The sequence below is a fragment of the Homo sapiens genome, chromosome 18 (genome assembly GCF_000001405.40).
Source record: "Homo sapiens chromosome 18, GRCh38.p14 Primary Assembly".
In the NCBI taxonomy this organism is placed as follows: Eukaryota; Metazoa; Chordata; class Mammalia; order Primates; family Hominidae; genus Homo; species Homo sapiens.
The window spans coordinates 73323101-73350155 of NC_000018.10; the positions used below are offsets into that span (position 1 = coordinate 73323101).

At 37.6% G+C, this 27055-nt stretch overlaps 1 long non-coding RNA gene across 1 annotated transcript, besides 4 other annotated features; it reads left to right on the forward strand.

Annotated features, from left to right (window-relative positions):
* Window positions 1–1840: 1840 nt before the first annotated feature.
* Window positions 1841–26789, forward strand: LINC02582 (long intergenic non-protein coding RNA 2582). The gene is made up of 3 exons (NR_038340.1): window positions 1841–2093; window positions 9365–9481; window positions 25984–26789. It is a non-coding gene; the product is annotated as a long intergenic non-protein coding RNA 2582 (long non-coding RNA).
* Window positions 1948–4958: a mobile genetic element, named in NCBI's record as "chr18 t(4;18)(q35;q18) HERV-H recombination region".
* Window positions 3035–3095: a non allelic homologous recombination region, noted in NCBI's record as "chr18 18q-146C recombination sub-region, recombines with the chr4 18q-146C recombination sub-region within the chr 4 t(4;18)(q35;q18) HERV-H recombination region, resulting in a translocation". NCBI's record gives the evidence for it as "EXISTENCE:nucleotide sequencing assay evidence [ECO:0000219][PMID:22260357]".
* Window positions 3165–3263: a non allelic homologous recombination region, noted in NCBI's record as "chr18 18q-82C recombination sub-region, recombines with the chr4 18q-82 recombination sub-region within the chr 4 t(4;18)(q35;q18) HERV-H recombination region, resulting in a translocation". NCBI's record gives the evidence for it as "EXISTENCE:nucleotide sequencing assay evidence [ECO:0000219][PMID:22260357]".
* Window positions 19417–19586: an enhancer, noted in NCBI's record as "experimental_49950 CRE fragment used in MPRA reporter constructs". NCBI's record gives its function as "activates a minimal promoter by MPRAs in K562 erythroleukemia cells, with activity observed for the non-introgressed 18:71009837 variant allele {active_cell/tissue: K562}" and the evidence as "EXISTENCE:reporter gene assay evidence [ECO:0000049][PMID:34662402]".
* Window positions 26790–27055: the final 266 nt, after the last annotated feature.

A 27055-nucleotide genomic window follows, 5' to 3' on the forward strand; every position in this document is an offset into this window, starting at 1 on the left:
TAAAGAAAGGGATTGCTAATAACCATCAGTTGAAGGTATGTTAAGGAACAGGATCTCAAAGTATCACCTTATCATTACAAAGTACCAGCCTGATAATTACAAAGGAACTTTGCAATGTAAATGTCTGATGGACAACATATTAGCCAAGTGATCAACATATCATCAATTTACTGGGACAAACTGACATTAAAACCCTCCAGATGGTACGAATTGAGATGCTCTCCATATTACATATGAAGAATATTTTCACAAAAATAATATCTTTAACCTTTGGTTTTGTTTTTTTTTTTTCATGAGAAAACAGTTATAAAAGATGCAAATTGTGCAGCAGTCGGTACTAGTCTAGGCACCTCAAAAATATCAATGTAATGAAACATTTTTTTAAATGTAGGTTTGTGTTCCAGGATAAAAATTGAAGAAATTTGACAACAAAATGTCATGTGTGATCCTTGATTTTTGAAAAATATAACGTTTAAAGATATTTCCAATTGTGAAAAAATATGAGCAGTGTAATAGTATTGCTAAATCAAGGTTAAACATTTAGTGTTGATAATGTTATTGTGGTTATATTGGAAAATGTCATTTTTAGTTGATACTTGCTGAAGTTTTAGGAATGTAATGTCACAATGTCTACAATTTATTTTCAAATGGTTCAGAAAGCACATACACAATGGAAATATATTTTTAAATGCCTACAGTTGAAGAATCTAGGTGAAGGCAATTGTACATTTTCCTGCTCATCCAACTCACATTTAAGTTCTCAATTGTTCAATATAAGAAGTTGGGGGAAAACAGAAATGAAAAGCCTGAATACTCCTACAGCCACTAATTAAATTTATTCTACTTCTCCAAACCTCAAACATGCAAAACATGCAACAGGTATAAAGGCAAATTCTTTCAGATTTTCTGTAAGCAAATACATTTGACCCTTGAACAACACAGGTCTGAACTGTGTAAGTCCACTTTTGCGCAGATTTTCTTCTGCCTCTGGCACTCATGAGATAGAAAGACCAATCCTTCCTCTTCCTCCTTCTCAGTCTACTCAACATGAGGACAATAAGGATGAAGACCTTCATAATAATCCACTTCTACTTAATAAATAGTAAACATATATATTTTATTTTGCTTATATTTTCTTAATGACATTTTCTTTTCTCTAGCTTACTTTATTGAAAGAATACAGTATATAATACACATAACATACAACATACGTGTTAACTGTTTATGTTATTGGTAAGGCTTCCAGTCAACAGTTGGCTATTAGTCATTAAGTGTTTAGGAATTCAAAGCTTACACAGGGATTTTCAACTGTAGAAGAGGTCAGAGCTCCCCTAAACTTCACGTTGTTTAAGGGTCAATTTTACTTCCAAATCCATATACTTCAAGAGAATAGAAAAAGAGAAATGTTGCTTCTCAACAATTTTTATGTTACTTAAATTCTTAATGGAAAAACTTAAGAAATAGTATGACATTTTAAATTAGGCTCTACCACTCATGAATATAAATGTAAATATTGTCAGGCCTCTGAGCCCAAGCCAAGCCATCGCATCCCCTGTGACTTGCATGTATACGCCCAGATGTCCTGAAGTAACTGAAGAATCACAAAAGAAGTGAAAAGGCCCTGCCCCGCCTTAACTGATGACATTCCACCATTGTGATTTGTTCCTGCCCCACCTTAACTGAGTGATTAACCCTGTGAATTTCCTTCTCCTGGCTCAGAAGCTCCCCCACTGAGCACCTTGTGACCCCCACCCCTGCCCACCAGAGAACAACCTCCTTTGACTGTAATTTTCCATTAACTTCCCAAATCCTATAAAACGGCCCCACCCCATCTCCCTTCGCTGACTCTCTTTTCGGACTCAGCCCGCCTGCACCCAGGTGAAATAAACAGCCATGTTGCTCACACAAAGCCTGTTTGGTGGTCTCTTCACAGGGACACGGATGAAATTTGGTGCCGTGACTCGGATCGGGGAACCTCCCTTAGGAGATCAATCCCCTGTACTCCTTTTCTTTGCCCTGTGAGAAAGATCCACCTATGACCTCAGGTCCTCAGACCGACCAGCCCAAGGAACATCTCACCAATTTTAAATCAGGTAAGCGGCCTCTTCTTACTCTCTTCTCCAACCTCTCTCACTGTCCCTCAACCACTTTCTCCTTTCCACTCTTCAATCTCTCCCTTCTCTTAATTTCAATTCCTTTCATTTTCTGGGAGAGACAAAGGAGACACGTTTTATCCATGGACCCAAAACTCCGGCGCCGGTCACGGACTGGGAAGGCAGCCTTCCCTTGGTGTTTAATCATTGCAGGGATGACTCTCTGATTATATACCCACATTTCAAGGGTGTCAGACCACGCAGGGACACCTGCCTTGGTCCTTCACTCTTAGCGGCAAGTCCCGCTTTTCTGGGGAAGGGGCAAGTACCTCAACCCCTTCTCTCCTTGTCTCTACCCCTTCTCTGGTTTCCTGGGGCAGGGGCAAGTACCCCAACCCCTTCTCCTTCACCCTTAGCCACAAGTTCCGCTTTCCTGGGGCAGGGGCAAGTACCCCTCAACCCCTTCTCCTTCACCCTTAGCAGCCAAGTCCCGCTTTCCTAGGGGGCAAGAACCCCCCCAATCGCTTATTTCCGCACCCCAACCTCTTATCTCTGTGCCCCAATCCCTTATTTCCGCACCATGACCTCTTATCTCTGTGCCCCAATCCCTTATTTCCGTGCCCCAACCCCTTCTCTGCTTTTCTGGAGGGCAAGGACCCCCTACCCCTTCTCCGTGTCTCTACTCTTGTCTGGGCTTGCCTCCTTCACTATGGGCAAGCTTCCACCTTCCATTCCTCCTCCTTCTCCCTTAGCCTATATTCTTAAGAACTTAAAACCTCTTCAACTCACACCTGACCTAAAACCTAAATGCCTTATTTTCTTCTGCAATGCCGCTTGACCCCAATACAAACTCAACAGTAGTTCCAAATAGCCAGAAAATGGCACTTTGAATTTTTCCATCCTGCAAGATCTAAATAATTCTTGTCATAAAATAGGCAAACGGTCTGAGGTGCCTGACGTCCAGGCATTCTTTTACACATCAGTCCCTTCCTAGTCTCTGTGCCCAGTGCAACTCGTCCCAAATCTTCCTTCTCTCCCTCCCGCCTGTCCCCTCAGTACCAACCCCAAGCGTCACTGAGTCTTTCTAATCTTCCTTTTCTACAGACCCATCTGACCTCTCCCTTCCTCCCCAGGCTGCTCCTCGCCAGGCCGAGCTAGGTCCCAATTCTTTCTCAGCCTCTGCTCCTCCACCCTATAATCTTTTTATCACCTCCCCTCCTCACACCTGGTCCGGCTTACAGTTTCGTTCCGTGACTAGCCCTCCCCCACCTGCCCAGCAATTTACTCTTAAAAAGCCAAAGGCATAGTCAAGGTTAATGCTCCTTTTTCTTTATCCCAAATCAGATAGCGTTTAGGCTTTTTCATCAAATATAAAAATCCAGCCCCGTTCAAGGCTCGTTTGGCAGCCACCCTGAGACGCTTTACAGCCCTAGACCCTAAAAGGTCAAAAGGCCGTCTTATTCTCAATATACATTTTATTACCCAATCTGCTCCCGACATTAAATAAAACTCCAAAAATTGGAATCTGGCCCTCAAACCCCACAACAGGACTTAATTAACTTCACCTTCAAGGTGTACAATAACAGAAAAAAGTTGCAATTCCTTGCCTCCACTGTGAGACAAACCCCAGCCACATCTCCAGCACACAAGAACTTCCAAACGCCTGAACCGCAGCGGCCAGGTGTTCCTCCAGAACCTCCTCCCACAGGAGCTTGCTACACGTGCCGGAAATCTGGCCACTGGGCCAAGGAATGCCCGCAGCCCGGGATTCCTCCTAAGCCGCGTCCCATCTGTGTGGGACCCCACTGAAAATCGGACTGTTCAACTCTCCTGGCAGCCACTGCCAGAGCCCCTGGAACTCTGGCCCAAGGCTCTCTGACTGACTCCTTCCCAGATCTTCTCGGCTTAGCGGCTGAAGACTGACACTGCCCGATCGCCTCGGAAGCCCCCTAGACCATCACGGACGCCGAGCTTCGGTAACTCTCACAGTGGAAGGTAAGCCCGTCCCCTTCTTAATCAATACGGAGGCTACCCACTCCACATTACCTTCTTTTCAAGGGCCTGTTTCCCTTGCCTCCATAACTGTTGTGGGTATTGACGGCCAGGCTTCTAAACCTCTTAAAACTCCCCAACTGTGGTGCCAACTTAGACAACACTCTTTTAAGCACTCCTTTTTAGTTATCCCCACCTGCCCAGTTCCTTTATTAGGCTGAAACACTTTAACTAAATTATCTGCTTCCCTGACTATTCCTGAACTACAGCTATATCTCATTGCCGCCCTTCTTCCCAATCCAAAGCCTCCTTTGCGTCCTCCTCTTGTATCCCCCCACCTTAACCCACAAGTATAAGATACCTCTACTCCCTCCTTGGCGACGGATCATGCACCCCTTACCATCTCATTAAAACCTAATCACCCTTACCCCACTCAATGCCAATATCCCATCCTGCAGCACGCTTTAAAAAGATTAAAGCCTGTTATCACTCGCCTGCTACAGCATGGCCTTTCAAAGCCTATAAACTCTCCTTACAATTTCTCCATTTTACCTGTCCTAAAACCAGACAAGCCTTACAAGTTAGTTCAGGATCTGCGCCTTATCAACCAAATTGTTTTGCCTATCCACCCCATAGTGCCAAACCCATATACTCTCCTATCCTCAATACCTGCCTCTATAACCCATTATTCTGTTCTAGATCTCAAACATGCTTTCTTTACTATTTCTTTGCACCCTTCATCCCAGCCTCTCTTCACTTTCACTTGGACTGACCCTGACACCCATCAAGCTCAGCAAATTACCTAGGCTGTACTGCTGCAAAGCTTCACAGACAGCCCCCATTACTTCAATCAAGCCCAAATTTCTTCCTCATCTGTTACCTAATTCAGCATAATTCTCATAAAAGCACACGTGCTCTCCCTGCCAATCGTGTCTGACTGATCTCTCAAACCCCAGCACCTTCTACAAAACAACAACTCCTTTCCTTCCTAGGCATGGTTAGCATGGTCAGAATTCTTATACAAGAGCCAGGACCACACCCTGTAGCCTTTCTGTCCAAACAACTTGACCTTACTGTTTTAGCCTAGCCCTCATGTCTGTGTGCAGTGGCTGCCGCTGCTTTAACACTGTTAGAGGCCCTAAAAATCACAAACTATGCTCAACTCACTCTCTACATTTCTCATAACTTCCAAAATCTATTTTCTTCCTCATACCTGACGCATATACTTTCTGCTCTCCGGCTCCTTCAGCTGTACTCACTCTTTAAGTCCCACAATTACCATTGTTCCTGGCCCGGACTTCAATCTGGCCTCCCACATTATTCCTGATACCACACCTGACCCTCATGACTGTATCTCTCTGATCCTCCTGATATTCACCCCATTTCCCCATATTTCCTTCTTTCCTGTTCCTCACCCTGATCACACTTGATTTATTGATGGCAGTTCCACCAGGCCTAATCGCCACACACCAGCAAAGGCAGGCTATGCTATAGTACAAGCCACTAGCCCGCCTCTCAGAACCTCTCATTTCCTTTCCATCGTGGAAATCTATCCTCAAGGAAATAACTTCTCAGTGTTCCATCTGCTATTCTACTACTCCTCAGGGATTATTCAGGCCCCCTCCCTTCCCTACACATCAAGCTCGAGGATTTGCCCCCACCCAGGACTGGCAAATTAGCTTTACTCAACATGTCCCGAGTCAGGAAACTAAAATACCTCTTAGTCTAAATAGACACTTTCACTGAATAAGTAAAGGCCTTTCCTACAGGGTCTGAGAAGGCCACCACAGTCATTTCTTCCCTTCTGTCAGACATAATTCCTCAGTTTAGCCTTCCCACCTCTATACAGTCTGATAACAGACCAGCCTTTATTAGTCAAATCAGCCAAGCAGTTTTTCAGGCTCTTAGCATTCAGTGAAACTTTTATATCCCTTAGGGTCCTCCGTCTTCAAGAAAAGTAGAATGGACTAAAGGTCTTTTAAAAACACACCTCACCAAGCTCAGCCACCAACTTAAAAAGGACTGGACAATATTTTTACCACTTTCCCTTCTCAGAATTCAGGCCTGTCCTCGGAATGCTATAGGGTACAGCCCATTTGAGCTCCTGTATAGACGCTCCTTTTTATTAGGCCCCAGTCTCATTCCAGACACCAGACCAACTTAGACTGTGCCCCCCAAAAAAACTTGTCATCCCTACTATCTTCTGTCTAGTCATACTCCTATTCACCGTTCTCAACTACTCATACATGCCCTGCTCTTGTTTACACTGCCTGTTTACACTGTTTCTCCAAGCCATCACAGCTGATATCTCCTGGTGCTATCCCCAAACTGCCACACTTAACTCTTGAAGTAAATAAATAATCTTGGCTGGCAGGACTATGCTGAATCTCCTTAGGCACTCTCTAATCAGATGTCTTAGGTCTAAGGACCTTTTATACCTGTTTTTCTCCTTCTCTTATTCCATTTAGTTTTTCAATTCATACAAAACCGTATCCAGGCCATCACCAATCATTCTATATGACAAATGTTTCTTCTAACAACCCCACAATACCACCCCTTACCACAAGACCTCCCTTCAGCTTAATCTCTCCCACTCTAGGTTCCCACACTGCCCCTAATCCTGCTTGAAGCAGCCCTGAGAAACATCACCCATTCTCTCTCCATACCACCCCCAAAAATTTTCGCCACCCTAATACTTCAACACTATTTTGTTTTATTTTTCTTATTAATATAAGAAGGCAGGAATGTCAGGCCTCTGAGCCCAAGCCAAGCCATCGCATCCCCTGTGACTTGCATGTTTATGCCCAGATGGCCTGAAGTAACTGAAGAATCACAAAAGAAGTGAAAAGGCCCTGCCCCGCCTTAACTGATGACATTCCACTATTGTGATTTGTTCCTGCCCCACCTTAACTGAGTGATTAACCCTGTGAATTTCCTTCTCCTGGCTCAGAAGCTCCCCCACTGAGCACCTTGTGACCCCCGCCCCTGCCCACCAGAGAACAACCCCCTTTGACTGTAATTTTCCATTAACTTCCCAAATCCTATAAAACGGCCCCACCCCTATCTCCCTTCGCTGACTCTTTTCGGACTCATCCGGCCTGCCCCCAGGTGAAATAAACAGCCATGTTGCTCACACAAAGCCTGTTTGGTGGCCTCTTCACATGGACGCACATGAAAAGTATCTTAAACATAAGTTAGTAAGATGAATCCAGCAATGTATAATAAATTGGTAATATATTAAAACTAATTAGTTTCCTATCAAGAATGCAAGATTGTATATTATTAGAACAAATTCACTAATTCAAGATATTATCAAATTATAATAGAGATTACCTCAGTAGGTGCTGAAAAGGATTTAATATAACTTGGAATAAATTATTTAAAATAACATATAAACTAAATTTAGAAGAAAGATCCCTTAGACTAAAATAGGTTATCACAAAAAATCCATAACAAATGTCATAAATTAGTGGTAAAATTGAAATCTTATTTGTTAAAGATCAGGAATAAGTCAATTATATCTCTTATAACTGTGTAATTAAATGATTGAAAAGTAATAAATCAAACATCTTTATAGATAACATGCTTGTTCATATAAAAAACAAGTTGACTGATAGGTTATTAGAACTCATGAAGAAGGTAGAGCAAAATAAAAATCTTGTTTTAAAAAAACGTATGTAGTTTTACAGGTAGGTGTGTGTGAAATACAATATTCAGCTGTATGTAATTATAAGGTTTAACAGTTATACAACTATATCCATATAAAACTATATATAACCATATACTGTGTATTTGTCTGTTCTCACACTGCTAATAAAGACATACCTGAGGAGCAAAGTCACGTAATACAATTTATAAAGGAAAGCAGTTCAATAGACTCACAATTCCACATGGCTGGGGAAGCCTGACAATCATGGCAGAAGGCAAAGGAGGAGCAAAGTCACGTCTTGTATGGTGGCAGGCAAGAGAGAGCTTTTATAAATCTGATGATTTATAAAATCATCAGATCTCGTGAGACTTATTCACTAACGGAGAGCAACATGGGAAAGACCCGCCCCCGTGATTCAGTTACCTCCCACTGGGTCCCTCTCAGGACACATGAAAATTACTACAATTCAAGGTTAGATTTAGGTAGGGACCCAGAGCCAAACCATATTATACAGGATAGTTAATTTATGTGTAAACTTGTTTAGCCCATAGTACACAGATACTTGTTGAAACAGGTCTACATGTTGCTGGGCAGGTATTTTTAGATGAAATTAACACATAAGTAGAATATGAGAAAAGTATAGTACCCTCCATAACATGGGTGAGATTCATGCCATCAGTTGAAGGCTTAAGAAAGAGACAGACCTCCCCTAGGAAGAGGGAAACCTGACAATTAGAGGGCCTTTGGACTCCAGCTGTGACATCCACTCTTCCTTGAGCACGCATCCAGCCTGCTGCCTGGCCTGCAGATTTTGAATTTATCAGTCTCCCAAATTCAGTGAGCCTACTACTTACATAATCTCTCTCTGTATATATATTAGACACACACCTCTTTCCCTTTCTCTAAAAATATGACTTCTAATCAAATTGATGTATAGATCCAATGCAATTCCCATAAAAAATCTTGTGAAAATACATGCACACAAGTGTGAAATGTGTGTGTGATTGCATACAAATTGACAGGAATATTTTTAAATGTATGTAGAAATGCAAATGACTAAGAATAAAACAAGATGAGGTGATTTTTCTGAATCTCTATCAAGAATTAACGTGTCATTGTTTAAGAATTAAGATAATGGAGTATTAGAACAGGAATAGTCAAATGGATGGAAAAATAAAGAGTCCAAAAGGAACAAAGCACAAATTAAGCTTTGATTAATGACAAGGCTTGGATTTCAAGTGAGTAGAAAAATACGGCCTATAAAATGAGTGTTATTGGGTCAATTCAGAATCCACATGGAAAAAAAAAAATCGAACCAGTGTCAAAATTAATGCCTATTAATGTATATTAAAAATCCATTGCAAAACACATTTTCAAAAGCAATGTGGAAACATATCATTACAACCTTAGATAGGATTTCTTAAGTAAAAAAAAAATTGCAATCTGTATGAAAGGACATTAACATAAATTCAACTGCATTAAAATCAAGTGCTTTGGCTCCTGAGGGACCCAGAAATATTGACTTCTGAACTATTCCTTGTGGTTGTTAACTAAGAAAAATACATTTTACACCTATCAAATAAAAACTTATTTTGTCTTTTATGTGAAGTCTGTTCCTTCTTCCCTAGAGACCTTGAAGATTTGTTGTTCAAGGAGAAACTGAAGAGCAAGAAGGAAAGTGAGAGCCAGCAATACCAGCAGAGCCAGATCTGAGCTGGGAGAAGGGGAGAAAGTTTGTGAAGAGGAGGTAAGAAAGTCGTTCTGAAAGATAATGAGTCCTGAAATTAAAAAGAAAGTTTTAGTTACACCCAGATGCTGTTAAATGGTAGTGAAGGACACTTGGAAAGAGCAAGTTTAAAGAATGTGATTATAGAAAAATAAAGAGAGGTGCCCTGCTAGTGCTTGGAGTCCTGCTCCATTTAATAATTGGTTACATATATTGACAAACTGATTCCCGGAGAAAGAACTTTCTGTACGTTAGAAGGGGTATCATAATCACACATGATGTAAAGCGGACCTCTAAGTTCAATGGCTCATCAGTCAACCATAGGTATGTTTGTTAATCAGCACAGGAATCTACTCTTTTAAACACATATTGAATGCGATGTATTAGGAGATTTAGGGATTATATAAATAAAATATTTATACCTTCAGGATTAAGGAGATTCATTCTTTCTCAGATCTCTCTGCTTTTTATGTTCTCACACTTGTAGAGTTTATTACTGCTTTATAGCAATACAACTTTATCCTAAAATCTTCCCCAATTTGACTCCTTTTGTGTAATCCCCCAGAAGCATCATTGGATCCTAGGTGAGGCACCAGGTTGGAGGTATGGAATGGAAGGATGCCTGGGCCTCACCTATTCTGATTGGTTAAATGGGGAGCCTTCCCTTAGAGAATTTAACAAAAGTCAATTGGACATTAGCCAAACGGACAAGAACAGGTGGACTGAACACAAAAGGGAATTCTATAAACACATTTACAAGATTAGGAAGTATTTTTTGTCTTGTTTTAAGAGATCTACTGCTATATTGCACAGGCTGGCCTGCCTCAGCAACATAGTAACGCATCTACTGGCTCAAGCAATCTTCCCACCTCAGGTCTCAAGTAGCTGGGACTACAGGAATGCGCCTCCGTGCCCGGCTAAGGTTTCGAGTTTTGCTACTATATTTTGTCATTCTTGTATCTAATTACAAGAAATTTATTAGTAAATATAGGTAAATATTATTAGGAACACTAATACCATTCCGATGTTCATCACGTGTTTCTCTGTATAGCACTAACTAAGCAGCAGGGGGAAAAATGCATTAATCGCTGCTTTGTATGTCACGCTTGAATATTATAAAAATCTTTGTTAAAAAGAAAAATACATGCCTCCAATATCCCAGAGGGCTTAACGGGTTTATGGCTTACTTCCTAGTTTGAGAAATGTTGGCCTGAAAAACTAAATTATTATTCTTTCAAAATGTGTTTCCACAGGAAGTTACCATTAAAAATGAAAAAAAAAATCTGTATAATGTAATACTTTATTTTGTATCAAAGAACAAATTTTAAAACATCCTCAAAGACCTTGTGAACTATTTATAAATCTTCATGAACCTTTGTGAAAACTAGTTTGCCTTATTCTCCATTTAAAAATTTCAGTTAGTAGTGTTAGATATCCAATGTCCCCTTAGTGACCTAGAACTGTAATGAGCATGACAGACCGATTCCAGACAATTCAGACCTACTTTCCTATTTCACAGGTGGGTATTTCAGCCTATATAACAGCTCCATTTTAAATTAAACGATATAGATATATTTTTGGTAGTAAGTGAAAGGCTCAATTTTAATTCACCGAATAGTCTCCTTAATGACATCTAATTAGGACATCTGTTAAGGGTACATGATCTTACATTCTTCATTTGGTTTTCCCCATTAAATTAGCTCTACTATTTTTTCACTCTTTTATTAGAAGCTTACTAATGGGGCTACATATGTGTGTGTGTGTGTGTGTGTGTGTGTGTGTGTGTGTGTGTGTATGCTCTAAGAAACTTTTATAATACTAGAATATGCTTCCTGATTAGGTTGAACAGTCATTCTTTTTCATGTTAATAATTGGATTGACCTTATTAAGAATTTAGAATCTCCTGTTCCCCTTTCTCAGAAAAATCTCTAAATTGGAGGACCTCCACAGAAGTTCCATCATTAGCTAGATATATCAGCTGACAGTGATTCAGTGATCAAAGTGATGATGTGATAAAGATGCAAATATTTGATGGTTTTTTTCCCCAAGAATTCTGCTTTGCATCAATATTACAGTGATGTGGCTTTGAAATATATTCTTAAGAAATTAATTATCCCTGTAGATATTATACATGTTTTACTTCTGATAGTTGTTTTCTATAATCTGGCAAATTATTATAAAATAGAAGATTTCCAGTTGAAGCTCTGTATTTTTTAATCACATAAAAATACCATAGGAATATTTTCATTTCTAAATATATACCTAACTCCAATGTCTATCTGCTTTTCCAGGGAACATTCATTATAAATTTAGCCTTAGTCCAATCTGCATATGTATCTAGTTCTCCCAACTAATTTTATAGGTCTTCAGAATTATTCCATTTATTAACTACTCCCTCATGTAAGTGAAGTTTATTAGGCAACAATTTAACTCATTCTGGTCACTGGCTTATCAGTTCTTTGATTTAATAGTATTACACAAATATCACATAATCCCATATTATCATCTTTTCTGTAAATCTATAGAACCAAACCAAACAAGACACAAAATCTCAAGAAGAATGATGGGATAAATGCTATTTGCTAAAATGTCTATGGCCCAGCACTTTGGGAGGCCGAGGTGGGCGATCACGAGGTCAGGAGATCGAGACCATCCTGGCTAACATGGTGAAACCCCATCTCTTTTAAAAATACAAAACAATTAGCCGGGCATGGTAGTGGGTGCCTATAGTCCCAGCTACTTGGGAGGCTGAGGCAGGAGAATAGCATGAACCTGGGAGACGGAGCTTGCAGTGAGCCGAGATCACACCACTGCACTCCAGCCTGGGCCAGAGCGAGACTTTGTCTCAAAAAAAAAAAAAAAAAAAAAAAAAAGAAATGTCTATGGAATGCCTTCTTGGTGTGAAATATGAAAAATAAATTCAGGAAACAAATTATAATATCTCAAATAATCAAACCATAGGAAGCACTTAGAAAAAACAGGTGGGTCACGTTTGAATTACTGATAATATAAAAATGCTCATAACAATCAGGAAGAAATTATTATAATTTCCAAAAAAATGGCTTTGGGCTCAACATAGTAATAATTCAATAGCCTTCCTGTTGGTATGCATTTAGAGAAAAGGTTTAAAAATCATGAGAAAATGCAGTGGATATATTTGTTAGCATTAATAGTATTAGTAATAATGCTGATTTATACAGCATTGTATTAAACAAATACATATAATTTATTTAACAATCCTCCCATTAAAAAGTGGGATCTATTTCTGTTCTCCTTGAATTTGGTCTTGCCTGTGACTTCTCTGATACTAAGGTAAAATGGAAAGAGTGGTACACCGTTTCTGGATAGCCTTTTCGAAGAGTGGCAGTTCCCATGCTGCTCTCAAGCCTAGAAATGTCATGTAGAGAATATGACTGCTCTATTAGAGAACCCTCATGAAGCAGCCCAGAAGCCACATGGAGGGAGAGAGATAGCAATCAGGGTTACCTTTTCCCACCGAGGTAGAGGTAGCAAGCCTGTCGGTGGAATCATCTTGAACAATGTGGCCCTGCCCCCCTGCTATCAGCAGAAAACCATTTAACACCAGACTAGAGCAAGGAAATTGCCAAGACCTTCCTCAATTTCTAACCCACAAAATCGTAAGAATACATTCACCACAGTTTTAAGCTCCTAAATTCAGGATGGTGTGTTAAGTGGCAATAGAAACTAGAACAGGATGTTTTATCAATGCGACATTTTGTATTTTAAAATAAGGTGATATATGCTGTTAGTTTTCATCCAAATAGCAGATTATGAAAACTTTGCAGTGAAAAAATTAGCTGGCATTTCCATGCAGGCAAACTTTGAGGCACAAATTGTGCAAAACTGGCCCAGAAAACATGGAATCCCTCTTCTTAAGTTAATACTGTTACTTAGAATATGACTGAACAAGCACAACAAGATTCAATATAGGGCATATTTTAATATTTATAGTTATATGAAAGTTTCTCTATGTGCCAGTGATTTATGCTATTTTCTTAATCTTTATAAAAGTTATGTTTATTTTTAACTGAAAATAACAACTGATTAAAATCTTTTTGAGAAGTGGAAAAATTTCCCTTACCAGTACGTTAATGTAAGAATATGATGATGGCTCTAAAGAAATCAATTATGGGCCGGGCGCGGTGGCTCATGCCTGTAATCCCAGCACTTTCGGAGGCCAAGGCAGGCGGATCACAAGGTCAGGAGATCGAGACCATCCTGGCTAACACGGTGAAACCCCGTCTCTACTAAAAAAAAAATACAAAAAATTAGCCAGGCGTGGTGGCGGGCGCCTGTAGTCCCAGCTACGCGGGAGGCTGAGGCAGGAGAATGGCGTGAACCTGGGAGGCGGAGCCTGCAGTGAGCCGAGATCGCGCCACCGCACTCCAGCCTGGGCGACAGCGAGACTCCATCTCAAAAAAAAAAAAAAAAAAAGAAAAGAAATCAATTATGAAGAAATAACTGTTCTGTGGCAGGCAGAACGCTATATGGAGTAATACAAAATAAAAAAAAATGTTTTCAACCGTAAAGTATAATCTATTGTACCTGAAATAATATAAGATTCCAGGATAAATGAAACACTTCAAAAAATCAATTGAACTTGACAAATTTTGAAGATATTCCAAGAACTGATATTTTTCAAGTTGACAATCTTTTTTATAAAGTAGAAAAATTAGCAAAATTTTAGCCAAATATAGATCTCCTGTAAGTGTCCTGAAAAATAAGTGAATAATGAATTATTTGTAGGAGAGCAATCATGGTAATTTTCTTCATGAGCTAAAAATTGTAATCACTGTTGATGTGATACAAGGAGCTATGACTCAGAATTCTTACATTAATTTTCTTTATTTGATTGAGAAATAGGTAAGAGAAAAAGGTAGCAGCTACCAGGACAAAAGCTGATGAGGGCTATCGGGAGTTGCACAGCACTGCAGAGACAAAAATTACAATTCTTGGCTCCCAGGGCAGACAACCTTGAGAGTGAAGATGCCAAAGTTGGCAAGTACAGCCATGGAAGCCCAATATTTGGTGCCACATTTCCCTCAGTGTATCTGCAAATTTCTTGGAGCCTAGAGGCTGAGAAGCCTAACAGAAAGCAGCAGCTGAGTCTAAGAAGCTAATTAGAGTTTTCACTGGGCTCAAAATGCATGGGAGGAAAAAAAAGGATGTTCAGTGCCTAGACATGAGTAAATTATGAAAAGTAGAGTAGTAGGAAAATATAAAAGACAGCAGAAGAGATAGATGGAACATAGCGTAAATTTGGAATCCAAGAAGAGCAACGAGGAGAGAATAGATCAGAAACACTATCTGATCATGATCAATAAGTTTCTAAAACATCTGAACAGTATCAAGCCCCAGAGTCACAAAGGGCCACAAACTAAAGCAGGGTCAACAAATCTATGTAAAAAAATCCAAAAACAATGAAATAAAGATACCATACCTTCATGAAAAAAAAAAAACAAAAAACTACTAACCATGACCGCGGCCTTATAAATATATAACTAAAGGATAATAAAAAGTAAAGAAAATTGGCTTTTTCTTTATTTATTCAAAATAAAATGTCTGAAAGAAAAAAAAGAATGAAAGTGAAAGTTAAAGAGCATTGAAAAGAAATACTAGATGATAGATCTAAACACACTGTATTTGTCATTACATTAACTATAAATAGATAAAATACTTCAATTAAAAAACAGATTGTCAGATTGAATTTTAAAACCTGTGATATGTGAATTGTATACATTTTAATAATCAGCGTACAAAAAAGATGAAAGTTATGACTGGAATAAGAAATACTATGCAAACATTAGCTGAAATATGGTTAAAATACCTGATATATTTTATCAGAAAAAGTAGAGTTGAAGGTAAAAATGAAAAATACTGGAGTTATGAAGACATTGTACAACTAAAACACGGTCAATCTTCCAGTAAAATAATTATAAGTATTGGCCAGGTACAGTGGCTCATGCCTGTAATCCCAGCATTTTGAGAAGCTGACACAGGCGGATCATGAGGTCAGGTGTTCAAGACCAGCCTGGCCAATATGGTGCAACCCTGTCTCTACTAAAAATACAAAAATTAGCCTGGCATGGTGGTGCACGCCTGTAGTCCCAGCTACTTGGGAGGCTGAGGCAGAAGAATTGCTTCAACCCGGGAGGCAGAGGTTGCAGTAAGCTGAGATCGCACCACTGCACTCCAGCCTGGGCCACAGAGTGAGACTCTGTCTCAAAAAATAAATAAATAAATAAATACATACATACATACATAATTATAAATATTTACTTGAAATATTTAAAACCAAAAAAAAACTATCAATTCCAAAAGGTATTTGGGGACCATAGTTGGCAATTTTGACTCAGTTCTCAAATGAAAGGATATATTAAATCAAAGGAGACATGATACCAATGAATAAACTTGACTCAAGGATAAGAAGTATTCTTATTCTTGATAATAATACTTATAAACTTGACTCAAGAATAAGAAGTATTGTAGTACCAATAATTTCAGAATACACATTCATTAAAAGTGTTAATGGAACATTTTCCGAAATTACCAAGATGATAAGCCAAAGTTTCAACAAATTTCAAAGGACTGCGATTATGCAAAATATCTTCTAAACAATGTGGAATTAATCCAGTAAATGAGAATCAGAGCAATATGAGATACCCTAACAACAACAACAAAAAGAATTATAGTCATAGTAAGCTTATTGAAAGCAGGATTTTGAAAAATATATTACAGCTGAGATTATAAATGGGCTCAACAATTTTAGCATAAAATAGATCACTAATAATATTAATATATACACTTTTTTTATATCCTCTGACCTAGAAATTTTACTTCTAGGAAATTATCATGTAGAAACAGACAAAAATTAAGCAGGAGAATGTTCTTTACAGCATTATTTACAATAATATTTTTAAATTGGAAACAATCTAAAATGTCTTGTTACATAAAGTAATTTGTATACATGTATAAATGAATACCTGCACGTAATAGGTCATAGTCTGCAGTTATTTAAAGAATGAAATACATTTCCATATACAGATGGGAAAATGTATATGCAATGTACTTTTTAAAAAAAACTTTGAGATAATTCAGAGAGCATGTTCTTATATTTTATAACCAAATATGTGTCTGTAAATGGATATAAAAATCCAGGGCACTATCCACCTGCTCATTCATAATAGTGATTTATGAATAAGATTAAAAGTAATCATAATTTTTTACTGTTACTTAACATTTAAATATTTTACAATAACAAATATCAAAAAATAGTTTAAAGTAGAATTCATGCTATAATATTACACCGGAATAGTATTTGTGCCATACTAGTACTTCTGGAGTACCAAAATCAAGTATCAAAATAATATCAAATGCAAAGGACATTTTATTGCAACTTCTGAGGGATGACATTAGTTGAATTTTAAGAATGATGTGTTAGGTTCAACTTATAAATCACTGTTAGACACATAATCCTTAATCCACCTCTATGTAGCAATCTAGAAAATAACATCAGATATAAAGCCAATAGGTAGAATTATTGTCAAAGTCTCTTTGTTTATGGGGTGATTGAAAATTTCTTGGGAAACCTGTCCAAGGGTATTTTATTGTTTTTTAAAAAATTATCTCATTATGTCTCCATGCACTAATAAAAGAGCAAGTGTGTTTCCTTCAGGTCCACAGTGAATGAACATGAAGCGTGGAAGGACTGAGGTAGATTCTGTGGTAGAATAAGTGGTGAACTGCACAAACTGAAACCAAGAAGCAAAATGTTTCATCAAGATCCTGGCCAGAAATAAGGGCTGCATAATTCTTAAGAGCACCAAGCACTCAAATAACGATTCATCCTTGAGGCAGGTAGAAGAATAAATTCCATTTGTGTGTATACACCCAGAAAAGTGCCCCGTGAGAACCACGTGAAGTAGGTTTCACGGCAATACAACTTCTGTTAGCAGGGCCCTCGGAGTTAGTCAATAATTTATCATTACATGAACTGAGCTTGGGAAAATCAAATTAAGCCTGAGCAAATAAGGAACATAGTTTTATCTGACTCTTGTCACTCATTAATCCGGAATTGATTTTTGGGTCAGACACCAAATTTTAAGTGGTTGTATGTGTCATTACTCAGATATGTTGTTTTCCTTTTGGTATTGCAATGAATCATAGAGACATGAACCTTGGCTTAGAATATTTGCATTTGTTAAGATGAAAGTCAAACCATTCAACTTTACAGAGAAAAGGAAAGTTAAGGGCAAAAACAAGAGTATTGGGAGTTTGTTTCTTGCATGAGACACTGCTTGAGTATTGCACTGGAGGATATGCAAATGTTCCTTAATCATGTGCCTCAAACAGCAAGTCTGAACTTCTTCATTAACGTCAGAGGACAGAAAAGTTACCCTTATCTTAGCCTGCTATCTTGATATAAGAAATTCACACACAGAATTTTCCAAATTTGATAGATTTTTTAATTATGAGGCATTTGAATTCTTATTTTAAATTTACATATGCCAATGAAATTACCTATGATTATAAGCATGATTTCAAACTAACTCTAACAGGAATAAAACCCCACATTACATTTTAATAAGGTAGTATCAATCTTGAGTTATTAAGAAATGTATATGCTGCACACTGCTCAGAAATATGTTAGCATGGTATTGTTGGCCACCCACGGATTATCACACAGATAAGGGCATGCTAGGGACCTTCAGAAGCAAATGTTCATTTCATGTTATGCTCACAGAGTTTTGAGACTGTAAAATGTATGGCACAATTTGAAGTATTTGGCCACTGTCAGTGACACGAATAGGTTATATAAACTGCATTTACTTCCAGTGGAAAAAGTAAACTACCACGCTGATGATGATAGCTGAGCAGACCTTAGAACACTACCCTAGAAGTAAATTTATGATCCTGTGGCATGCTAGTGGATCCCCTGAACACACTAAACCTTTGATTGAAGATTTGTAAGAAAAAAAACTAATTTCCAGAACTATATATATATATTTACACTGGAAAGAAAATGAAGTGGAAAATAAAGTAAGCAATAGCTTCAAATTTATTTAAGTTTATTTGAAACCTTTTTTCAAAAGCCAATCAATGCTCAGAACAGAGAATTAGAATTCAGACAAAACCATTTTCAGTATTAGTTTGTAAAATCTAAAATGTGATTAGGACAAGACATTAGCACTGGGAAATAATTTCTACTAGTAATAGTGAATAAAACTTACTGTGCAATATTAGTAAAAATGAAAATAGTGGAGATCTTTCTACATATTTACAAATGTCTATGAACAATGGGGAATCCAATTTCTCCATCATTGCATTGGAAGCAGTGTACTTTAATGGTAAGAATAAGCACCCCAGAGTCAGAGAAAGACCTGGATTAAAATTTTGACTCAGTTGTATACTCACTTTGGAAAAGTATTCAGTCTTCTGAACCTTGTGATTAACTCATGTAAAACTTAGTGTTAAAAATAAAAAAAGTAATTCGATTGTTCAATATTAAAGATAGTGTCGTATATAATTTGCATCAATAATTTTGCATTATAGGGTGTTAAATTAACTTTCTCCTAAAACTGCCACCTTATATATTTTAAGTCCAGCCTAAAGGTTTCTCTGTACACAGTGAACCGTAACCTAAATGGAGATGTAAGCAGACGGTAACTGAGGTTGTGCCAATCACTGAGCTTTGGCCAATCAAAAGGGACCATCTGTTCAAACTGTGTTCCAACAAGGGAAAAGCTGAGCTGTCACCAGTTATTCTATATGACTTTTTGCTTTTCCTGTCCATGAATCCTCTTCCACCACATGGCTGTACTGGAGTCTCTCTGAGCATACTCTGGCTCCAGAGGCTGCTGGATTGGTGAAGTGTTCTTTGCTCAATTAATCTCTGTTAAATTTAATTTGGCTAAGGATTTTCTTTTAACAAGGTCAATATAAAATCCCCAAGCTGGGACCACGCACTTTTACACGGTTCAGTCTTAACAGGAGGGAAGCCCACAGACAGAAGGACCCGGATCTCAATCTAGGGCTTGGGCTTTGCCTCTCAATGAAACAAATCCATAGGTTTTTGAATGAAGATTTTATATTAATCAGATTATATTAAAAACAGATTTCTGTAACTTTTTCATTCAGAGTATACTAGAGGGAGCGAGGAGGGAAAGGGCAGAACCATGGAGATTCTTTAAAAGCTATTTCCCAAAAATCTTTAGCTCACAGGACAGTGGTAATAGGAAAAGGGAGGTGAGGACATATTTAAATATATTTTGAAAGACATCAGGGTTTCCTGATGGATTGGATGTGGACTGTTTGAAAAAGAGAGAAATCAAGAACAACTCTAATTATCTGACACTGTAATTAAAAGGATATAATTTTCATCAATTTAATCAGGAAAGGCTGCAGGTGAAGCATTTTTTTTTTTTTTTTTTTTTGAGATGGAATCTCACTCTGTTGCCTAGGCCGGAGTGCAGTGGAGAGATCTCAGCTCACTGCAACCACTGCCGCCCAGGTTTAAGAGATTCTCCTGCCTGAGCCTCCCGAGTAGCTGAGATTACAGGGGCCTGCCACCACGCCCGGCTAATTTTTGTAGTTTTAGTAGAGACGAGGTTTCACCATCTTGGCCAAGCTGGTCTTGACCTCCTGACCTCGTGATCCACCTGCCTCGGCCGCCCAAAGTGCTGGGATTACGTGCCTGAGCCACCATGCCCGGCCGGTGAAGCAGATTTATGAGGAAAGACCAGAAACTCAATTCTGGAGATGTAAAGAATGAAATGTCTATCTATGAGAATGAAGTTAGGAATGTCAGGTGTACAGGTAAGCTTTTCAGACGTTCGTGAGAGGGGCGAGTTGATGAGATGTACTTGGCAATCATCAGCATGGACATGACATTTAAAGCCATTGCTAGGCTCCCCAAGGTCAGCATCCATAGGAGAGCTCAGCAACAAAGGCAAAAGTGATCAGTGAGGTACGAGGAAAACCAAAGCAGCACAGTATAAAGGAAACCGAGAGATGAAAGTATATTGAGGAAGAAACGACATTCTACTGGGTCAAATACTGCTGTTCATTGGCGTAAGACCTAAGAATTGTAGAGTGAACTGGGAAATGTCCCATATGAGAGTTTTCGGTAAAACTGACAAGCATGGCTTCAGTGAAGTGGTGGAAAATCCTCCTGACCGTAGTGGGTTTGAGAGACAATGGGGAATAGAAAATAGGAGAAAGCAAATACAGACACCTACCTGTTTTAAAGCACTTTTTTGTTTTTACAGAAGCAGATAAGTGCTGTTGTTTCATTATGTGGGGGAGCCGGCAGATTGTTTATAAGCTAAAAGGAGTAAACTCATAAGGAAGAGAAAATTATTGATGTAGGTAACAAATAGATACGTGAATACTTTTTTCTAATTGTTTATTATGGAAATTTTGAAACAAAGAAAGTAGAGAGAATATTATAGTGAACTCCCACAAATCTAGAAACAAGCTTTAATCATTGTGAACATGCTTTCAATCTTTTCTAATCACCCCACTTGTTTTTATTGTATTTACTTATTTATATATTTTAATTAATTTTTGCTGCAGGATTTTAAAGCAAATTCCAGATATCATACCACCTCTCCACTGAAACCAGTATGTTGTCCTAAATGAAAATCATATTAAAATTTTACATAACAATATGGAATTAACCTAACAATTTTGACCTTAATCACTTAGTATTATTTGAATAGTATTTAATATCTGCTTCATATCTGAAAGTTTCCAATTGAATCAAACAAAATATTCTTCTTATACCATATTTGTTTAATTCAGCATTTAAATAAGCACAAGTATTAATTTTGGTTGTTATGTCTTCTACATCTATTTTACTCTCCATTTTTTTTCTTCTTTAATCATCAAAACCAGCCCTAAAGAATGTCCAACTTTCCGCATTTAGTTTATTGCTTCTTCCTTATATGAGTTAACTTGTTCCTCTATTTCTTCCAGATGTTGCAAAAGTAGTTAGACCTAGAAAATTAATTAGCTAACAGTTCAATTACGTCTGTACATGATAAATTTTAGAGGCCATGCCTCACACTCTCCATTTCATCACATTTTGAGGCACTTATGCATCTGTGGTCTCTTTTGGTGATGCTGATATCACTGGGTAACGTGCAGTCTGAACTTTTCTCATAACATTCCCCATCAACTCTTCACCTAATGCTTACATCATCCACTGATCCATCGAATGTTGTCTAAATTCATTATTACATTACAGATCGCAATACAGTATTTTTCTAATTTTATCATCCCTTATGGAGTCTTTTCCAAAAATTAGAAAGTTAACCTAAAAGAAAACTCAGAGATGTATGGCAGGATGAATGCAAATCTTGCCAATTTTCCAAATCGTATATGGGCACCTTAGCAAACTCTGATTGAAAACAAGGAGGTGTTTCTTTTAAAAAAAAAAAAAATCTTTATCAACTCATGAATTTTAGATATATGTAATCCTTTCAACCTTTTTTGTTCGTGCTTAAATTCTCTCCCTTTAGTCAGAGTGAATATCTTCAAGTTTTCTGCTATACATTTTTAAAAAATTAATATACAATTCTTTGTTTAGGTTTGCGGCAAATTTGAGCAGAAAGTACAGAGTTCCCATAACCCTCTGTCCCCACCCATGTGCAGCCTCCGCTGCTATCAACATTCCACACAGCAGTGGTGCATTTGTTATAATCAATAAACCTACATGGACACATCATTATCACCCAAAATACATAGTTTACATGAGGCTTCACTCTTGATGTTTTACATTCTGTGGGTTTGGACGAATGTGTAATGACGTAGATCACATTATAGTATACAGAGTGGTTTCACTGTCCTAAAAATCCACTGTGCTCTGCCTGTCCATCTTTCTCCCCTCTAACCCCTGTCCACCACAAATCTTTTCACTGTCTGCATAGTTTTGGCTTTTCTAGAATGTCACATAGTTGGAATCATGCAGTGTGTAGACTTTTCAGATAGGCTTCTTTCACGCGGTAATATACATTTAAGTTTCCTCTATGTATTTTCACAGCATGTGTATTAGTGAGGGATTTCTACAGACAGAATTCCTAGATTCCTATCTCTAGAGATAGATAGATAGATAGATAGATAGATAGATAGATAGATAGAAGGTTGACAGACGGATGGATAAATGAATAGATAGAAAACAGGGGATTTATTTGGGGAATTGGCTCATGTGAGTATGGAGGCTGAGAAGTGGCATGATAGGCCACCTGCAAGTGGGACAACCAGGAATGTCAACAGTGTGGCTCAGTCCAAGTCTAAAAGCCTCCGAACCAGGGAGGATGAGAGTGTGACTCTCAGTCTGAGGCAGAAGGCCTGAGAACGTGGGGGCTGCTGGTGCAAGTCTTGGAGTCCAAAGGCCAGGGAAGGCTGGAGTTCTGGGGTCCAGGGCCAGGAAAAGAAGGGTGCTCTGGCTCCAAAAATGAAAGAGTGAAATTGCCTTCCCTCTATCATTTTATTCTATCTGAGTCCCCAGTAAAGTGGACGGTGCCCACCCACATTGAGGGAGGCTCTTCCCCACTCTGTTCAAGGACTCACATGCCAATTTTCTCCAGAAACATCCTCACAGACACACCCAGAAATAGTGCTTTACCAGCTGTCTAGATTAACTTTATCCAGTCAAGTTGACACTGAAAATTAACCATCACAGCGTGATAGCTCATTTGTTTCTAGTGCTGAATGATATTCCATTGTCTGGATAGACCCCAGTTTGTTTATCTATTTACATACTGATGGATATTTTGGTTGCTTCCAAGTTTGGGCCACTGAAAAAAATGCAGCTATCAATAGCTGTGTACCCATTTTTATGTGTACATAAATTTCCAATTTCTTTGGGTAATTTGCTATTTTTTTTTACATACCACAGTAGCTTTTGATGGCTTCCATGTAGCCCTTGTACATTTCCTTTCTCAAATCCACAGTAAGAATCTCTTTAATAATCTGTGCAACATGAAATGAGCAGGAAACACAAACTGTGATGTCATCTCATGCCACAGTTAGACTGTCTCTCAAAATCGGCCATCAGGCCTTCTGCTATATTCTATTCTTTCTCTTGAGCATATTATTTCTTTTCTCAAATGTATAAATTTGAATGTTCAAATTTTGGAAAAAGCAATTCAAACACACAAAAAACGACATTTCTAGTTGCCTTATGAATATTCCTAGCTTATTTTGGTCAAAATAAGATCAACATCCTACTTTTCAATTCTCTCATGTGTCTTATTTTAATTAACTCCAAACTGTCTATCATGTAGATTCAAATCATTATGATTCTTCCCCAATTTATCCACCTTTATTGATGTCTGTTACTTATAGACTAAGTGCAACTGCTTAGCCCAAACCTTAAGTATTTGTCTGCAACCTTAATTTATACTCCTTCTTTTGTAGCATAAAAGCATAAATAAACTCTGTGATTCCTGGAAAGATAGATTCAAGCACTGAACACTTTGTGCCTTAAATGTAAATAACATGATCAGGAAATATGACCAGACATTAAAAAACCATTTGAAAATTGTCAATGTTCCCTTCCCACAATAAAGTGATTTTTTAATGTCATTTTATTTTTAGAGTAACTTTCAATCTGGAAGAACAATATATACAATATTAATACATAAATGTTAATCATTTTATACATTAAAATGAGTTATATATGAAGGTTTGCTTGGGCAATGTGGGTGTTTTCTTGGACTATTTAGCTAAGAGTAGTAAAGGTATTTTTACTAAAAAGTGTGAACTTATTACTTGAGTTCCGCACTTCATTTTATATGTAATAGACTCAGTTTAAGGTTATACAATTCAGTGGGTCAAATTTTACTTACTCATATAAGATTTTGCATTCATAATACTTAGAGTCTTGTCTTTTCTGCAATGACAAAAAATATGTGGGTAACCTGTTAATACCAGTTCTTTGGTTGCATGTCAGGATCATCTTGTATAGCTTTTAGAAATGCAGGCTGGGGGTGGTGGCTCACGCCTGTAATGCCCGCACAGAGTTGGACTCTGTCAAAACAAAAAAAAGAAAAAAAGAAAAAGAAAGAAGAAGAAAGAAAAAGAAAGAAAGAAGGAAGGAAGGAAGGAAAGAAGGAAGGAAAGAGAGAGAGGAAAGAAAGAAAGAAAGAAAGAAAGAAAGAAAGAAAGAAAGAAAGAAAGAAAGAAAGAAAGAAAGAAAGAGAAAGAAAGAAAGAAAAGAAAAGAAATGCATAGCTGGCATAGCTGGGCCTTACCCTACAGCTACTGGATTTGATTCCCCATGGGTGGTGACAATCTGTTTTTAAAAAAATTATAAGTACTCTAGTTTTCACAGAACACTTGAAATTAAGATTTTTGAGGCAACAATTTGATATATTAAGTAGAGAAGTAATATTTTGAACATAACACAGTATTATTTCTAATTTATGGTCAAAACCTGAGGCACAATAATCACAAAAGTAACCAAAACTGTTTATCACAGTGTGGCTGGAAATAAGGAAAAATGTGGACATTACCTCAGTGTCAAACTAAAAGTGATTAGTTAAATGCATACGGTTCAGTCAGCTACTCAAATGCAATACAGCCATTATATGACAATTTAGATCTAAATGCACTGACACATAAAATATCTACTGTATACATTCTGTGTGAAAAAGAAAATGCTAAGTAAAAATGTGTACGATAGAATATACATATATGTATATTTTTCTTTTTTCTTGTTTCAATGTAAAAAATATATATATTTTACATATATATTTTCTTGTAAATATGTACAAAATTTAAGTCTAAGGAATATACACCATATCGGTAATGTGTATTTTTGTCTGAGTGATAGGATTATGTGATTATTCTTCACACTTTACTTATTTCTGGATCTCTTTTGTAGTAACTGATTTTGTTGTTGTTGTTACTTACATAATGTTTTCATTTAAAAATCCACAGCCTATTAGCAAAATAATAATGAAATAATTGACATCAATGAAATATGAAGAAAGGTAAGAGAAAAGTTTCTGGGGAAACTAGAGACTCTGTTGTCAGAGAGCACAAAGCTGATAAAATGTCTAGTACTTCCAAGTTGCCACTGTTAGAAGGCTGAGGTTACCCTGAGAGAATCACAGTACTTGGAGCACTGCTTTAGTAGTCAATAGTACCTCGTTTACCTGCTTCCTGATGCAAAGACCACATCTTGCCATCAGTTCATACACAGTCACTTCTGGCTTTTCCATGATCCTGAACACCAGCAAGCCCAGAGGATGCACTGGAAGTAAATACCAACTAAGATGAGTGATCCAGAGTGTAGAGGAAAGGGGAGGAAAACCACCACTAAGCAAACTCCCCCTAGGGAAACTAGTAGAAGTAATCAAATCACAGAGGTAGTTAGACTGTATTAATGTTTACCATATGCATAATTATGACCACCTCAATGAACATAAACATTCATATAGGTCAATTTTAAATGTCTAATTTCATAGTTAGTGACGTTGTTTCATTTTTCTCAGATCGGTGACCTGGGCTCCTTATGTGCCTGAAAGAGTTTGAGTTTCCTGTTAACTCCAAATCAACAGTATTTTCAACAAGAAATGTGCAATTGAAATCAAGTGCTGTTTAAGTGCAGCTAGGATTTCCACAGGAAGACACTTGCAGTGAACAGAGTTATGGAGCAGCAAAAACACAGATCTATTTGGAAAAAGAGAAAACATATGCGTTGTATTTTGCTTCAATTATAAAATACCATCCTCTCAAAGGTGGTTCTAAATTACAAAGGACTTTGATTTCTAGGTAGATTCTGGGTAGAGACTTCCTTTCATATTGAGGCATTAATGACACCTTTTAACCTGGGAAGCAATATGACTGGAGTTGTACTTTGAGAAGATTAATCAGGTTTGGTTGCAGAATGAAAGAGAAGATGAAGTCAAGAGATTGGTTTAGAGGCTCTAGCAGAAGCTTAGTCATATTTCAAAATGATCAAATATCAAGAAAAATTCTGAGCTGCATAACTTGTATAAAGTAATTTTCAGTGATTTTTTTCATGGTTATGATAAAAGAACTGGATTAGCAGAAACTTTTACCCTGAATCAAGATTTAATTTTTCTTTGAGCTCATCTTAAGGATATCGGAACATAGGGAGCAAACGATGGTGTGGCTGCCTCAGTGCTTGATTTTTAACGGTTTTGAAGAGAATAGTTACATTTCTTCTCCTAGTAAGAACTAATAAATACATTAACAGAAATGAATTCCCTATCCCTTTGTACACTGGTCTATTTCTTCAAAACATTAAATACTATTGATAAGATATCACCTTTTATAATTTGTGTTCATTACAGTTCTCTTGTCATGAAATGCAAATGAAATGTAGTATATACTAACAGCTTTTACAGAAAGACTAATCCTAAGAGAATCATATTTTTAAATTTGAATTTATAATAATTATGTTGTACATTATGGTTTCGATATATGTATATGTTGTGGGATGAGACACGCTCTTATTTTTTAATTTCATTTATTCATTTTTCAGTTTACATTATTGTCCCCTTTGAAGTAAAATTTAATAGGATGTTCTCAAATTTTATT